The following is a 16,860-nucleotide window of genomic DNA, read 5'->3' as shown; positions in this document are numbered from 1 at the left end:
TGCAAATAACCTTTAATAATGAAGTTGCGAGTGCCTCAAGTCACTTCTTAGTTATCGGATTTAGGATTCTTAGTATAAAGTTTTGGACTCCTACTGACAAATGGGCTAGTTCTCAAACTTTTTACTTCTTGCATGGCATTTCATTTGTGCAGAAAGGTTATACATTGGTACATACACCAGCAAAGGAGAGGAGTGAGGTTGCAGTGAACAGCACTCCCTCTTACAGCAGACTTTCCTTTCAGAAGGAGACACAGAAAGCTCTCTTATCATAGATGAGAAAAAAATGCGTGAAAAAGCACTCTATTAGTTCCCTATTGTTGCTGTGGCAAATCATCACAAACTTAGTCATTTAAAAAGCACAAATTTATTACCTTACATTTCTAGAAGTCAAAAGTCTAACATGAATCTCCCTGGGCTAAAATCAAGATGTCAGCAGGGGCCGGCCATGGTGACTAATGCCTGTAATTCTAGCACTTTGGGAGGCCGAGGTGGGCTGATCACTTGAGGTCAGGGGTTTGAGACCAGCCTGGCCAACATGGTGAAACCGTCTTTACTAAAAATATAAAAATCAGCTAGGTGTGGTGGCATGTGCCTGTAGTCCCAGCTACTTGGGAAGCTGAGGCAGGAGAATCACTTGAATGAGTGAGGTGGAGGTTGCAGTGAGTTGACATAGCACCACAGCATTCTAGCCTAGGTGACCGAATGAGACTCTGTCTCAAAAAAAATAAATAAATAAAAAATTAATTAATTAATTAATTAATTAATTAAAAAAAGAAAAAAGACGTTAGCAGGGAACTGTTTTTCTGGAGTCTCTAGGGGACAATCCATTTCCTTGCCTTTTCCAGCTTAATCTGTGTTCCTTGCATCTGGGTCCCCTTTAAACTACAAAGCCAGCAACAACCAACAACTGGCTGAATTCTATCTCCTCTGTATGACCCACTCATTCTACTGCCTCTCTCTTCCACTTGTAAAGACCCATGGTTTGCAAATATTTTTCTCATTGCATGGGTTGTCTCTTCACTTTGTTCATCGTTTCTTTTGCTGTGCAGAAGCTTCTTAATTTGATGCAATCCCATTTGTCTATTTGTGCTTTTGTTACTTGAGATTTTGGGGTTACATCTAAAAAAATCCTTGTCCAAACCAATGTCATGGAGCTTTTCCTATGTTTTCTTCTAGTAGTTTTACAGCTTTAAGTCTTTAATCATTTTGAGTTTATTTTGGAGCATAGTGTAAGGTAAGGGTCTAATTTCATTTTTTTCTGAATGTGGATAACTGGTTTTCCTTGAACAATTTATTGAATAGAATGTTTTTCCTCCATTATGGGTTCTTGGCAGTTTTGTAAAAAATCAATTGACCATGAAGGCATGAGTTTATTACTGAGCTTTCTGTCCTGTTCCATAGGTCGATGTGTCTGTTTTTATGCCAGTATTATGCTGTTTTAATTATAATCACTTTTATAAAACATTTTGAAATCAGGTAGTATGATGCCTGTAGCTTTGTTCTTTTTGCTCAAGATTACTTTGGTTATCTGGGGTGTATTGTGGTTCCACAGAATTTTAGGATTGATTTTTCCATTTTTGAAAAATGACCTTGAAATTTTTATAGGGATTGCATTGAATCTGTAGATTATTTTTTGTAGTATGGGAATTTTAATAATATTAATTATTTCAGTCCATAGAGATGGGATATTTTTCAATTTATTTGTGTTTTCTTCAATTTCATTCATCAGTGTTTTATAGTCTTCAGTATATAAGTCTTTTACCTTCTGATTTAAATTTACATCTAAGTTTTAAATTTTTTTCTGTTGCTATTGTAAATGGGATTATTTTCTTAACTTTCTTTTCAGATAGCTCATATATCTAGTAAGGGTTTAATGTACAAAATATACAAGGAACTGAAATAACTCAATAGTAAGCAAACAAATAAACCGATTTAAAAGTGGGCAAAGGACCTGAACAAACACTTCTCAAAAGAACTCATCCAAACGGCCAAAAGGTTCATTAACAAATGAACTAATCATTAGGAAAACACAATTTAAAAACCACAACAAGATATCTATTTATACCCAATAGAATGGCTTTTACCAAAAAGATGAAAGATAACAACCACTGGAGAGGATGTAGAGAAAAGGGAATGCTTGTACACTATTGGTGGTAATGTAAATGGTTCAGCCATTATGGAAACCAGTATGGAATTTCCTCCAAAAACTAAAAATAGAACTCCCATATGATCTAGCAATCCCACTACTGGGTATTACAAGGGAAATTATTAAGTATGCCAAAGAGATATCTGCACTCCCAGGTTCATTGCAGCATTATCCGCAGTAGTCAAGATATGGAATCAACTTGTCCATCAACAGTTGGATAAAGAAAATAGAGTAAACAAAATGAAATATTACTTATTCTTTAAAAAGATGAAATTCTGTCATTTGGGACAAGATGGATGAATCTAGCAGATGTTATGCTAAGTGAAATAAGCCATGCACAGAAAGATAAATACTACTTGATCTCATTTATATGTGAAATCTAAAAAAGATTCATCCATGTAAGTGGAGAATGGAATGGTGGTTACCAGAGCCAGGGATGGGGGGCTTGGGTGGGGAGGAGTGAGAGAATGTGGAGTTACTGTTTAAAGGATACACAGTTTTAGCTAGACAGGAGGTTTAGAGATCTGTTGCACAGCAGGGTGACCATAGCCAATAATAATGTACTGTGTATTTCAAAATAAGAGAGTAAATTTCAAAGATGTCATCACAAAAAATGTCAAGCAAGGGAAGGGATATATATGTTAATTAATTTGATTTAATAACTCCGTATTATATACATATATGAAAACATCACATTGTACTCCATAAATGTAATACAATTATGATTATTATAATTTATCAATTTAAAAATATTATATTGAACTCCTGGGAATAATCTAGGAAAATTTCCGCATTCTAGGGTCCTTAATTATAATCACAGCTGCAAAGTACCTTGTTCTATGTAAGATAACATATTAACAGGTCTGGGGATTAGGACAAGCCCATCTTTGGAGGTCCATTATGCTACCTACCACAAAGACCTGGCTGCAGTAGATGTGTGAACCCTCTAGCTGAGTTCTTCAATTTGAAAGTCCCTGGGGAAAATGCAAAAGTGTGCAAAAAGCAAGCATACTCCTAGCTGTTCCAGAGGTGCCATGATGATGCACTGCTGTTCATACCTGTGCATGAACAACAGAGGCATGGTTTGATGACTCTTTCTCAGATGTTCTCAGTAGGCCATATATTCAATAGAGACATTTTCCCCTTCCTTTGCCATAGTTATATTTTTCCTTTATGTGGGCTGAGTTGCCAACATTTAAATATAGAAACTGGGAACTGAAGAGGTATGTAATACTATTAAAATGGTTGGAGAAATCAATCTGGTAATATTTGCTTTGCTTGCAATTATAATATTTATTTGTGAAGTCCCTTTTATCCCGGAAGGTCAATCAGCATTAATACAGCATAGATATTATCAATCTGAGCCTCTCAAGCAATCTGGACTTCTGGAAGTCTCTTCATAAAAAGAAGTTTTAGCACAAAAATGTAGAGAGCAGTGTAAAAGGACAGGAACAAGAAGAAAGGGAAACTCAATTTCTCTCTGATTGTTTTTTTTTTTTTTGTGACCCTCCAGGTTTAAATAAATCAAGCTCAAAAGGAAAGGTAATATGTTTTACTGTTAATTTTTTTTTTTTTAGAAAGCTTGATGGATATGTCTATAGTGGAACTGAGCAGACTATGTTGAACAATGGTATATGCATTGTAAACACTAAGTACATGACCAGGTCACTAAATAAGTCAATATCCTTTTGAGATGTCTATTTTTCATGTGGAATTAGCAGTAGGAGGATAATGTAGGTTAAGGAAGATGTATGCCAGAAATATATTTGTTTCTCCTAGTGATAACAGTAAGGCTGAGCTCGTATTTACAAAAGCCATTTATTCATTCAAAAATATTTATTGAATGCCTACTAAGAGCAGTGCTTTGGAGGGGATGTATGTGGATATGAATACATAAGCATGAAAAGAAAATTTACTTCTATCCTCAATCTTGTTTACAATCTAGAGAGAAAATTCTAGAACTAATGTATGATTCTTGAATGTGGGGAAGGCATTTTATAAATGTCTTAGGCAGGCTGGGTGTGGTGGTTCATGCCTGCAATTTCAGCACTTTGGGAGGCCAAGGAGGGAATATTGCTTGAGGCCTGAGTTCGAGACCAGCCAGGGCAACATAGTGAGACCCTAACAAAATTTTTGTAAAAAATTTTCCAGGAATGGTGGCACACACCTGTAGTACCAGCTACTCAGGAGGCTGAGGCAGGAGGATTGCTTGAGCCCAGGAGTTGGGCTCCAGGAGGATTATTGAGCCCAGGAGCCCACAGTTACAGTGAACTGTGATCACACTACTGCACTCCAGCCTGGGTGACAGAGGGAGACCATTTCTAAAAATAAACAAATAAATTAAAAGAAAAAAAGTTATTTGATCTTCTAGTTTGAAACCAACTTCTGATTTCATTTATTTGATACATACCAAATCATGAGGTCTCTACAACAGATTTACTTCCTTTTACTAAGCATTTCAAAAAGCTAAAATAATGCCGCTTCAAATACGGGTATGTTTTGTTTTTTTTCTACCAATTTTTAAGAGACTTTTTAGGAAATCCAAATTTGTTTGATAGAGACAAAGGTGATTTCTATTTTATTCTGTCTTGGTGTGAAAGTCGTTTTTGTTTTTTTTTTTTTAATGTAGGCAAATCCTCTAAAATCTTTAAATAGAATAGTCTGTCAGGCTTAGCAGATTTTAAGTTGGTTGAAAAAAGAAAATTAAGCGTGCGTAAATAAAGAAGAAAAAGTTGATAATAGACAAGGAATTCTTGTTGTTATGTCTTTAGAAGGAGGAAAGTAGTAGAGTCAAAAACAACATAACAGAGAAACTGCATCACTGTCTGATTTCTGCCTATTAGAGAGATAGCTGTGTGAGATAGGATTGGGTGTGTGTACGAAGGGAGGTAAAATTATGTCTGAAATGTCTACACCCTGGAGAGCTGTGGAATGGAGTTAAATGCCTACAATCCTTGTACTCAGGAGCAAGATGGGAGATGACGCTGGTGTGTATTACAATTTCTACCCGAGTTATCCAAAGCTAAAAGTTAATAAAAAATCACTCTTTTATTTTCCATTAGAAGAGTCCAAGTTTTTCTGGTGATCCCCCAGAAACAAAAATATTGTCTGGCACATTTACATTTTACTGGGATAATTGGAAATCAGCTTCTGAAATGCTAAGGAGTTTATTCTTTTGGATATAATTTTCGATTATTTTGTGGAAGTTAAGATACATATGCAAATGGTGTTTTTAGTGCTGATGCCTAATAATTGTGTCTCACAAATACAAAAGGCTTCCGTATATGGAGTCAATAAGTCCCTCATCAACCAATATCCCTATCTGCTTGATCTGCAAGATGAATTTTCTCTGGCAGAAACTTATGTAGACATACATGGGAGCAGAATAACATTTACACATCAATTAAGACAATTATAAGATAATTTGAGAGTTATTCTAGCTACACAATTTTACTTGTTTGCATCTTCCATTTTTAATTAAAGTTTCACCAAATGTACAAATCTCTCTTCTAAATGTCCCACCTAACTCCTCTGGTGTTCAGTGAAGCACTTTGAACAATATATATGTGTGTATGTGTGTATATATGTGTGTGTGTATATATATATGTATATATATAAAATTCACTTTGCCTCTGATGATGAAAATAATTAGAATTTGCAAACATGATTTCTCTTAATTAAACATGAGTTAATATATCTCCCCACCAAAAGGAATCCTATCATAGGAAGCTGCAATATGCTTGAGTATATTTCATGATATGCTCATTTTATATACACACACACACACACACACACAGAGCGGTATTGTTCAGAGTGAGATACACACACACACACACCTTTGCACACTTCTACGTCCTAGGACTTAAGTACTTCCTCTCTATACATTTTGTTTTCCTAAGTTTTTACGCATTAAAAGAGTTTATCCTTACTTTTATCATTCTTATCAGCATTAGGACGTACCTTGCACATAATAAACCCAGACTATACAACTAATGCAATTTCAAGTAAATTTGAAGTCTCTCTGGATATCAAGCCCCCAAGCATATTGCAGCTTCCTATGATAGGATTTGTTTTGGTGGGGAGATATGTTAACTCATGTTTAATTAAGATAAATCACCTTTGCAAATTCTAGTTGTTTTTGTCATCAGCGACAAAGTGAATTAATTCAGAATCTTTTGTTCCTCAGTAACCCCAAAGCATATTGCATTTAGAAAAAAGTGTGAAAATTATTTGACATTGCATCTCATTTTGTCAAATCTACTAGCTATAAAATAATTATTCTGTTACAAATCAGCAGACAGATGGGAAATGGGAAATATTCAGCTACAGAGTTGAAATAGAAATACCATGCTGTGGTCATCAGAACTGGCACGATGTGTGGGCACTCTAATACAATGCCTTACACATTGTTTTCATGTGAAGAATAAAAAGTTTTCACAGAACAATTAAAAATTACTTTAAGATAACTCTAAAACCTTACTGGAATTTTCAGATGTAGGAAAATAATTCTTTGTGTTTCCCGATACCAACTATAAGGGCGTTTCCTCCGCCTCTATGTTACTGAATTTCCAAACTATGGTTCAGCAGTTGTGATCATTATTAAATCATTCATCACTGATTTAAAAGAATCATGAAGGAATGCTTTAACTGAAATGGAGAGAGTGTTACCTTCCCTATCTATGAAGATACATAGAATCAATCAACTTCAAACATCTTAAATAAATTGCAAGTTTGAGAAGACAGAAAGAAGAAAACATTCATTAAAAATAAATGCCAGTGCGTTATACACAATGTCATTTACAAGGTTCTAACACTGGAAAAGCTGACTACTACTAGGTAATGTTTTCTTAGAAAACAAATAGTGGAATCTTGTGAGAATGTCAAACAGAGGCAGGACACTGAGTCTAGTCTCCTCTGTGAGTGAACTTGGCAGAAACTGCATTTACTCCCTTTAATAATAAATGGACCTATCACACTTCAACTTTCCAGGAAAACTCATTTTTTTTGTTTAATAAAAGGTTTAGGTTTTACTCTGCTCAACTCTTCATACAGATATTTGCATCTTTAACTCTTTACTAGGCCTAATGCTGCTTAAGTTCTTGTAAGTCCTGTTTCTTAATCATCTCTGGACACTTGTTCTTGCCAAAGTCATCTCCAGCATGGACTTCAAGAAGATATTGAGAGCATTGGAGCCAAAGCATAACAGGATGATGCAGTGAGAAGCCCTCCACTCAGCTCCAGCCAGGCTGACTCATGCTGGCAACTTTGTTATCTACTGTCATTGCTATCAGAAAAACCATGTAATTCTACCTACTTGACAAGAGGAGCTACTGCTTTGTCTTCTGGTTTTGTTAAATGGGAATCTTGAAGACAACCAGAAAAGGTCAGACTGACATTATGAAATTTTAAAAGTTCTGAAATTTGCAGATGAAATGTACTATTATATTTAGTACATTTATGAAATCTTCCCTATACATTTTATTGTCACAGGACACCATACAAAATCTAAAATAAAAGGGTATGTTTTAGTATGTTATACTAAAACATTTAGGTTAGATGTGGGGTTTGAGTGGAAATTTTTTTAAAAATAATTTCAACTTTTATTAAGATTGAGGCGGTATATGTGCAGGTTTGTTGAATGAGTATATTTCATGATGCTGAGGTTTGGGGTATGAATGATCTCATAACCCAGGTAGTGAGGAGAGCAATAAATAGGTAGATTTTCAGCTCTTGATCACCTCTCTGGTATTCCGTTAGTGTTTACTGTTTCCATATTTATGTCCATGTGTACCCAATGTTTAGCTTCCACTTGTGAGAACATGCAATATTTGGTTTTCTATTCCAGTCTTAATTCGCTTAGGATAATGGCCTCCAGCTGCATCTGTGTTGCTCCAAAGATCATGATTGTGCTTTTTTTTAATGCCTGCATAGTATTTCATGGTGTATATGTACCACATTGTCTTTATCCAATCCACCACTGATGGGTGCCTAGGTTGACTCCATGTCTTTGCCATTGTGAATAGCACTGCAATGAACATACCAGTGCATGTGTTTTTTTGGTAGAATGATTTATTTTCCTTTGGGTATATACCCAGTAATGGGATTGCTGGGTCAAATGGTAGTTCTAAGTTCTGTGAGAAATTTCCAAGCCACTTTCTATGGAAGGTAATCTAATTTATATTCCCACCAGCAGGGTGTAAGTGTTTCTTTTTCTTCACAGCCTCACCAGCATCTGTTGTTTTTTGACTTCCTAATAATAGCCATTGCGACTAGGGTAGGATGTATCTCATTGTGGTTTTGGTTTGCATTTCTCTGATGAATAATGATATTGAGCAATTTTTCATATGTTTGTTGGCCGCTTTTAAGTCTTCTTTCAAAAAGTGTCTGTTCAAATCCTTTGCCCACTTTTTAATGGGATTACTGGTTTTTTGCTTGTTGAATTGCTTTTTGCTTGTTGAATTGAAGAAGTTCCCTATAGATTCTGGATATTAGATCTTTGTTGAATGCATAGTTTGCTAATATTTTCTCCCGCTCTGTAGGTTGTCTGTTTACTCCGTCAATAGTATCTTTTGTTGTGCGGAAGCTCTTTAGTTTAATTAGGTCCCATTTGTCAAGTTTTGTTTTTGTTGCAATTGCTTTCGAGGACTTAGTCATAAATTATTTGCTAAAGCCAATGTCCAGAATGGTATTTCCTAGGTTTTCTTCTAAGATTTTTATAGGTTAAGGTCTTACATATAAGATATTTAATCCATTTTCAGTATTGTATATGTGAAAGGTAGGTATTCAAATTTATTCTTCTGAATGTGGCTAGCCAGTGATTCCAGCAGCATTTATTGAATAGGGGAGTCCTTTTCCCATTGCTTATTTTTGTAAGCTTTGTCAAAGTCAGATGGTTGCACTTGTGTGGCTTTAGTTTTGGGTTCTCTATTCAGTTCCATTGGTCTGTCTGTTTTTGTACCAGTACCATGCTGTTTTGATTACTGCTGCCTTATTGTATATTTTAAAGTCAGGTAATGTGATGCTTCAGGCTTTGTTCTTTTTGCTTACGATTGCCTTGGCTATTAAAGCCAACTACTCTAAAAACTATTTTAGAGTAGTTTTTTCTGGTTCTGTGAAAAATGACATTGGTAATTTGATAGGAATAACATTGAATCTATTGATTGCTTTGGGCAGTATGGTCTTTTTATTTATGTTGATTCTTCCAATCCATGAGCATGGAATGTTTTTCCATTTGTTTGTGTCACTTATGTTTTCTTTCAACAGTGTTTTATAGTTCTCTTTGTAGAGATCTTTTCACTTCCTTGGTTAGATGTATTCCTAGGTATTTGTGGTGTGTGTGTGTGTAGTTATTATAAATGGAATTGCATTTTTGTTTTGGCTCTCAGTTTGAATGTTATTGGTGTATAGAAGTGCTACTGGTTTTCATACATTGATTTTGTATCCTAAAACTTTACTGAACTCATTTGTCAGTTCTAGGCATCTTTGGGTAGAGTCTTTAAAGTTTTCTAGGTATAGAATCATATTGTCAGCAAAGAGAAGTAGTTTGAATTCTTCTTTTCCTATTTGGATACATTTTATTTATTTCTCTTGACTGATTGCTCTGGCTAGCACTTCCAGTGCCAGGTAGAATAATAGTAGTGAGAGTGGGCATTTTTGTTTTCTTCCTGTTCTTAAGGGGCATGCTTCCAACTTCTGCCCATTCAGTATGATGTTGGCTGTGGGTTTCTCTTAGACCGTTCTTACTATTTTGAGGTATGTTCTTTCTAAGCCTAATTCGTTGAGTGTTTTTATCATAAAGCCATTTTGGATTTTACCAAAAGCCTGTTCTACATCTATTGAGATCATCATTTGATTTTTGTTTTTCATTCTGTTATGTGGTAAATCACATTTACTGACTTGCATATGTTGAACCAACCTTGCATCCCAGAAATAAAGCCCACTTGGTCATGGTGAATTAACTTTTTGATGTGATTTCTAGCTTCAGTTTGCTAGCATTTTGTTGAGTATTTTTCTGTCTATGTTCTTCAGTAATATTGACCTGTAGTTTTCTTTTTTCGTGGTGTCTTTGCCATATTTTGGTATCAGGGTAATGCTGGCTTTATAAAATGAGTTAGGGAGGAGTCCCTCCCCCTCAATTTTTTTGAATAGTTTCATTAAAACTAGTATCAGCTCTTCTTTGTACATCTTGCAGGACTTGGCTGTGAATCCATGTGGGGCTTTTTTTTTTGTTGGTAGGTTTTCTACTACTGATTCAATTTTGGAATTGGATATTGGTCTGTTCAGCATTACAATTTCTTCCTGATACAATCTTGGGAGGTTGTTTTGTTTCCAGGAGTTGATCCATTTCCTCTGGATTTTCTAGTTTGTGTGCATAAAGGTGTTCATAATAGTCTTTGATGATCTTTTGTATATTTCTGTGGGATTGGTTGTAATGTCAACTTTGTCATTTCTGATTTTGCCTGTTAGGACCTTCTTTCTTTTTTTCTTTGTTAATCTAGCTAGTGGTCAATCTTGTTTATTGTTTGAAAGAGCCAATTTTTGGTTTTGTTGATCGGTTGTATGGATTTGTACATCTTAATTTTGTTCAGTTCTGCTCTGATTTTGGTTATTCATTTTCTTCTGCTAGCTTTGGGGTTATTTTGTTCTTGTATTTGTGTGATGTTAGATCATTAATTTGAGATCTTTCTAACTTCTTGATGTAGGTTTTTTGCACTATAAACTTTCCTCTTAACACTGCTTTTGCTGCATCCCAAAGATTTTGGTATGCTGTGTCTCTGTTTTCATTTATTTCAAAGAATTTTTTCATTTCTGCCTTAATTTTATTATTTACCCAGAAGTTATTCGGGAGCAAGTTGTTTAATTTCCATGTAATTGTGTAGTTTTGAGAGATTTTCTTGGTATTGATTGCTATTTTTATTTTACTTTGGTCCAAAACAATGGTTCGTATGTTAAGTTTTGTTGAATTTATTGAGACTTGCTTTATGGCTGAGCATGTGGTCTATTATGGAGTATGTTTTGTGTGTAGATGAGAAGAATGTATATTCTGTGGTTGATGGGTGAAATATTCTGTAGATCTCTCTTAAGTCCAATTGGCCAAGTGTCGAGTTTAAGTCCAGAATATCTTTGCCAGTTATCTGCCTTAGTGATCTGTCTAAAGCTGATGGTGAGGTGTTGAAGTCCCTCACTATGATTGTTTGGCTGCCTAAGTCTTTTCATAGCTCTAGAAGTACTTGTTTTATGTATCTGGGTGCTCCAATATTGGGTGCATATATATTTAGGATAGTTAAGTCATCTTGTTGAATTGGATTCTTTATCATTATGTAATAATGTTTTATTACATAATGATAAAATATCATTATAATGATAATGTTTACTCCAACCTTTTACTTTGAGCCTATGAGTGTTGTTACATGTGAGTTGGGTCTCTTGAATATAGCAGACAGATGGGTTTTCGCTTTTTATCCACCTGGCCACTCTGTGCCTTTTAAGTGGGGTGTTAGGCAGTTTACATTCAGGGTTAATATTGATATGTGAGGTTTTGATCCTATTGTGAAGTTGTTCACTGTTTGTAGTTTCTATATATTAGTAACTTTATAGAGTCTGTGGGATATGTACTTAAGAGTGTGTGTGTGTGTGTGTGTGTGTGTGTGTGTGTGTGTGTGTGTGTCTGTTTGGTCATACCAGGTATTGTTCTTTTGTTTCTGTTTAGAACTTCCTTAGGGATTTCCTATAATGCTGGTAAAGTGATAATGAATTTCCTTAGTGATGGCTTTTATGGAAAAGATTTTATTTCTCTCTCACTTATGAAGCTTAATTTGGTGAGATATAAAATTCTTGGTTGGAATTTCTCTAAGAATGCTGAAAATAGGCCTCTTATCTCTTCTGGTTTGTATATTTTTTACTGAGATGTCTGCTTTTAGCCTGATGGGCTTCTCTTTGTACATGGTCTGATATTTCTTTTTTTAAGCTGCCTTTAAGATTGTTCTTTATCGTTGGCCTTGGACAGTCTGGTGACTATATGCCTTGACAATACTTGCTTTGTATAACATCTCACAGATGTTCTCTGGATTTCTTATATCTGGATGTCTGACCATCTAGCAGAGTTAAGGAAATTTTATTGAATTATTGTCTCAAATATGTTTTCCAAGTTATTCTCCTCTCTCAGGAATTCTAATAATTCATAGATTTGGTCACTTTACATAATCCCATATTTCTTGAAGGTCTTGCTCATTAAAATTTTTTTTTCTTTATTTTTAGCTAACTGGGTTAGTTTGAAAGACTAGTCTTCAAGCTCTGAAATTCTTTCTTCTGCTTGGTCTAGTCTATTGATAAAACTTTCATTTGTATTTTGAAATTTCTTAAGTAAGTTTGTCAATTCCAAAAGCTCTGATTGATTATTTTAAAGCTATGTATCTGTTCCTTATTTTCTGGATTGCTTTAGAAGTTTCTTTGTTTTGATTTCAAACTTGTCTTGGATCTCATTTGAGCATCCTTACAATCCATGCTTTGAATTATTCATGTCATTTCTGAAATTCCATTTTGTTTAGGGAGGATTTCTGGAGAGCTAGTGTGATTCTTTGGTGTCACCACATTCAGGTTTTTCATGGAGCCATAATTCTTGTGCTGGTTCCGTCTCATCTGGGGATGCTGGCACTTTTAAATTTTGTAATTTTTTTCATTTTTCCCTTGTATTTATTTATTTTTTCATTTTCCTTTCCCTACTTTCCTAGGAGGTGTGACTGTAGAGAATGCTGGGGTAGGGTCTTTGGCTTTTCTTCTACGCAATTCTGTCAGCAGGTCTTATATTGGGCTGTGTAACTCAAACTACAGGCCAACTGATGGCGCATATGGGTAAGAGTTAACTGCAGGTGGGTCTGATAGTTGATTATTATTTATTGAGAGAAACTCTCTCTGCTGCCTCAAGCAATGGGCTGATACGTGGAGTATATAGGGCAGTCTGAGCTTCTTGCTCATCCCTGTGGGGAGGGTCCAAGATGGGTGGGACTGAAACAGGCAGGCCTGCTTGCAGGTCCACCAATGGCAGGCACAAGCATCAGTGCTGAAGGGATGTCCAGTGAGAAGGCACTAAGCACTGAGACGTGTGTCTAGGCATGGAGGTGAGAATTCTCTTCTGCTGGAAGTTCTCTGCATGGGTGGTGGGGAGGTAAACTCCTAATCCTGGGTGTGGAGCATAGAGGACCCTGTTGCACCACAGTCTCTGCACAGGAAGGGTTGGGCAGCTCAGGCTGCTGATTGAGCTGTCCAAGTGCCTGGGCTTGGAGTGGAGAGGGCCCTGCTGCTCAGTGGAAGTTTTATGCTTAATTTCTGACAGGTTTTCAGAAATATAACTACTTTTATAGAGATAACATAAAGCAAAAGGAATTAATTTAGCTTTAGAAAAATTTAAGGCAAATTATGTTAATTGGGCCCTTATAATGTGCAGGAGTCTATATTAAGTATGTTTACATGTATTATCTTATTATTCAGTCCCTTGGTTAATGCTATTTACCATTTATATCAACTCTTGAGTTTACTACTACAACCCAGGTTTAATCCTAGTACACTTCTGCATATTGAGTATAAAGGGAAAAGTCTGGATTTTTGTTTCTTAGTGGGAGAAAACAGTAATAATTAAATATGAATCATAGATACTGTATAAGTGGCTACAAAAAGTCTATAGAAAATGTTGAGCCAGGTGACTTTTAGCCCTGGTAAAAAATGAAAACAAAACCAGAAAATATAGGTTTCTGAAAATGTACCTAGAAATTTTCTATGTTCTATCATGACTCTTAGATCCCTTTCATTTCTACCTTTCAGAGACTACTTTGAGCTTCTTGAGTTTGAAATATGTATATCTACAATAGGATTCTGGCTTCTCCTTTGATGCATGCTTTTGCTTTTTTAGTAACTAGAACACAATGTTTATGTCTTCAATTTGTTCATTTCCCACTTTATTTCAAAGTTAATTTGAAGCAGATGTAGCAATTATTTTTTTTCCTTTTCTCTCTTTCTCTCTTTCATTTTGGGATGAAAGTGAAAAGAATACCTTATGGGAGTCTAGTTTAGCCATTAATATTGCTAATGAATTTAAAAGTTTGTATTTACATAAAGAAAGAAAGGTGGTTATAGCTTTTAAATGGCTTTCCTTTTAAATAGATCTATCTATCTATCTATCTATCTATCATCTATCTATCTAGTTAACAAACAACAAAATAAATTTAGCCTTGTTAATCTTGCCTTCATGTTATCATTCTTATTTAATTTGTCAAAAATCATAAAATCACAGGACTTAAATATCCTATTAATATGATATGTCTGTTTATGTCATATCTATTTTCGGCAATATACCTGATCTTATTATCTCTTACTTTTCATGCCCATTTAGAATTTATCCTTTGCTGGGCTCTATTTTGTCTTGTAGAACAAGCCCACTTCAGGGACCTCTCTACCTGGTTTGCTTACGGTATTTTTTTCTTCACTAAGTTTCTTTACCTTTTGTGGTAGTGACGTGTGACATCATCCTGGGGTCCAGTTACTTTCAATTAATCTTTTCAGTGTGACTGAAATGCTGGGCGTCAAACATTAGGATGCAGAAGAACCATGTGGGAAGCTTGTTAAAACTGAGTTTCTGGATCCCCAATTCAAGAGATTCTGATGCATTAGGTTTGGCATTTTTCACAACACTTCAGATCATTCTTATTCAGGTTGCTGAGGTTGACACACTAAAAAACCTCTGCATTAAGGCAATAACTCATGACTCTGAAGCCTACTTTTTCTTGAAGAATGGTTTAAGTTCTGTATTATCTATTACTATATAACAAACATATCTATTATTATATTATCTATCAAACAAATTGACTATTACTATATAATAAACCTCCCCAAACTTAGCAGCTTGAAACAACCCCAGTGATTTATTTTGATCATGATTCTGAAATTTAGAAAGTGCTTGGTGGGATGTCTCATCTCCATCCTTGCAGCGTCAGCAGGGGTGGTTTGACTGGAGCTAGATAGTTACTTCCAACAGCCTCACTCACTCACATGTCTGGCAAGTTGGTCCTAGCTGCTGGCTGGGAGCTCAGCCAGGAGTCTTAGTTTCTTTCTTCATGAGATTATCTACGGAGCTGCTTGCTTGGCCTTTCTCACAGCATGGTGGCTGAGTTCCAAGAGTAAGTGTTCCATGTCAAGGTAGAAGCTTCTAGTATCTTAAGATCTGGCTCCCCAAATAGACATAGTAACATTTCCTCTGTGTTCCATTTGTCAAAGCAATCACAGAGCTCTAACAGATTCAAAGAGTGGGTGTTGACTCCTCCTGTCTCAATGGGAGAAGCGTCAAAATTTTTTTAGCTAGTTTATTATATTAACCTCATTATTTCAGATTATGATCATCACTAACAGAGAACTTAGAGGTAGTCTAGTCTACTGGTTCTTAAATTAATGTGAGTAATGAACCATGTGATTGTAAAGAGAAAGCATTTAAATTCGATTATTTTTTAATTCTTTTTTTGTATATTATCATACAATAAAATGGACTTTTTTGGCATGTATTTTGCAGTTCTATGAATTTTAATATGTGTGTAGATTTGTATAGCCATATTACAACTAGGCTCAAGACAGTTTTATCACCTCAAAGAACTGTCTCAGATAATCTTTTATAATTATATTCTTACCCCACCTATAACCTCTGGCAAACACTGATTAATTTTATGTAACAATAGTTTTATCTTTTCTAGAATGTGAAAAAAAGTGGAACAACAAAATATGTTGTCTTTTCAGACTGGCTGCTTACAATGTTATTGCATATATCAATAGATAGCAATAGTTTTTTTAAATTTTTTTTTTTTACTACTGAGTAGTATTGCATTGTGTGAATATACCTGTTGGCTTTTCTCTTCACCTGATGAAGGACATCTAGATGGTTTCTAGCTCCCAGCTGTCACATATAAATCTGCTATGAACTTTCATGTGCAGAACTTCATTATATTTTATTCCATGTTTTAAAATTTTATACTTATGATCTGTGTTCTAAAATGTGCATAATACCTTGGTGTAGCTCATAAATGTAAACATAACTGTTTATAATTTACATATAAGCCATGTGTGAGTACTTATTAACTTAATGTTTCTTAATGTTAATTATTAGAAATTGTATTGCCAATGGTTGAAGCTGAATGGTGGATACATAGAGCTTCATTATACTGTATTGTCTACTCTTATTTGTTTTAAAATTTACACAATATATATATTTTTAAGTTTGTAGACTTCTATCTGGTCTACCATATTCATGTGATAGAGAATTGAGGATAATAATGGACTTGGGAGCAGGTGTCAGAGAGACACACAGGTCATCTGCCTCTTGCCCATGTGTCATGCTGCCAGCCAGATGATTTAGGTGAAATAATAAATTACATAAAAATTTCAAGTTAACTATATGTATTCTTCACATTCTAGCATTTGCTCTCCACATATTTGGAAGAATTGATGGATAATTATTAAAAATCACATTATGAGAGCAAATCAAGGTAACACTGCTCGGTTTAACCTGTAAGGCTATTTTTTTCCCTGGCACACTTGACATATAAACTGCAGAGAAGGCAAATTGCTAGGCTTGTGAGAAATGGAAGTCCTTACTTCCAGTTCTTTGCCTCGTGTGTAAAGAGATCCCATGCTCTCTTAGTCTTTTGTTACTAATGCCAGCTAACAGGAAAGCACTG

The 16,860-nt window shown here is 35.2% G+C and overlaps 1 protein-coding gene across 4 annotated transcripts in view, besides 1 other annotated feature; it reads right to left on the bottom strand.

Moving 5' to 3' along the window:
• The window catches only part of NKAIN3 (sodium/potassium transporting ATPase interacting 3), a 750,799-nt gene that overhangs the window by 155,581 nt on the left and 578,358 nt on the right, over window positions 1-16,860 (bottom strand). The window lies entirely within an intron of this gene.
• Window positions 7,315-7,515: a silencer, noted in NCBI's record as "peak7049 fragment used in MPRA reporter construct". NCBI's record gives its function as "represses an SCP1 promoter by STARR-seq MPRAs in K562 erythroleukemia cells {active_cell/tissue: K562}" and the evidence as "EXISTENCE:reporter gene assay evidence [ECO:0000049][PMID:32103011]".

Source organism: Homo sapiens, chromosome 8 (assembly GCF_000001405.40).
Source record: "Homo sapiens chromosome 8, GRCh38.p14 Primary Assembly".
NCBI classification, from domain to species: domain Eukaryota; kingdom Metazoa; phylum Chordata; class Mammalia; order Primates; family Hominidae; genus Homo; species Homo sapiens.
Note: the sequence above shows the minus strand (reverse complement) of the source record. Positions and strands in the feature narration are given on the sequence as shown.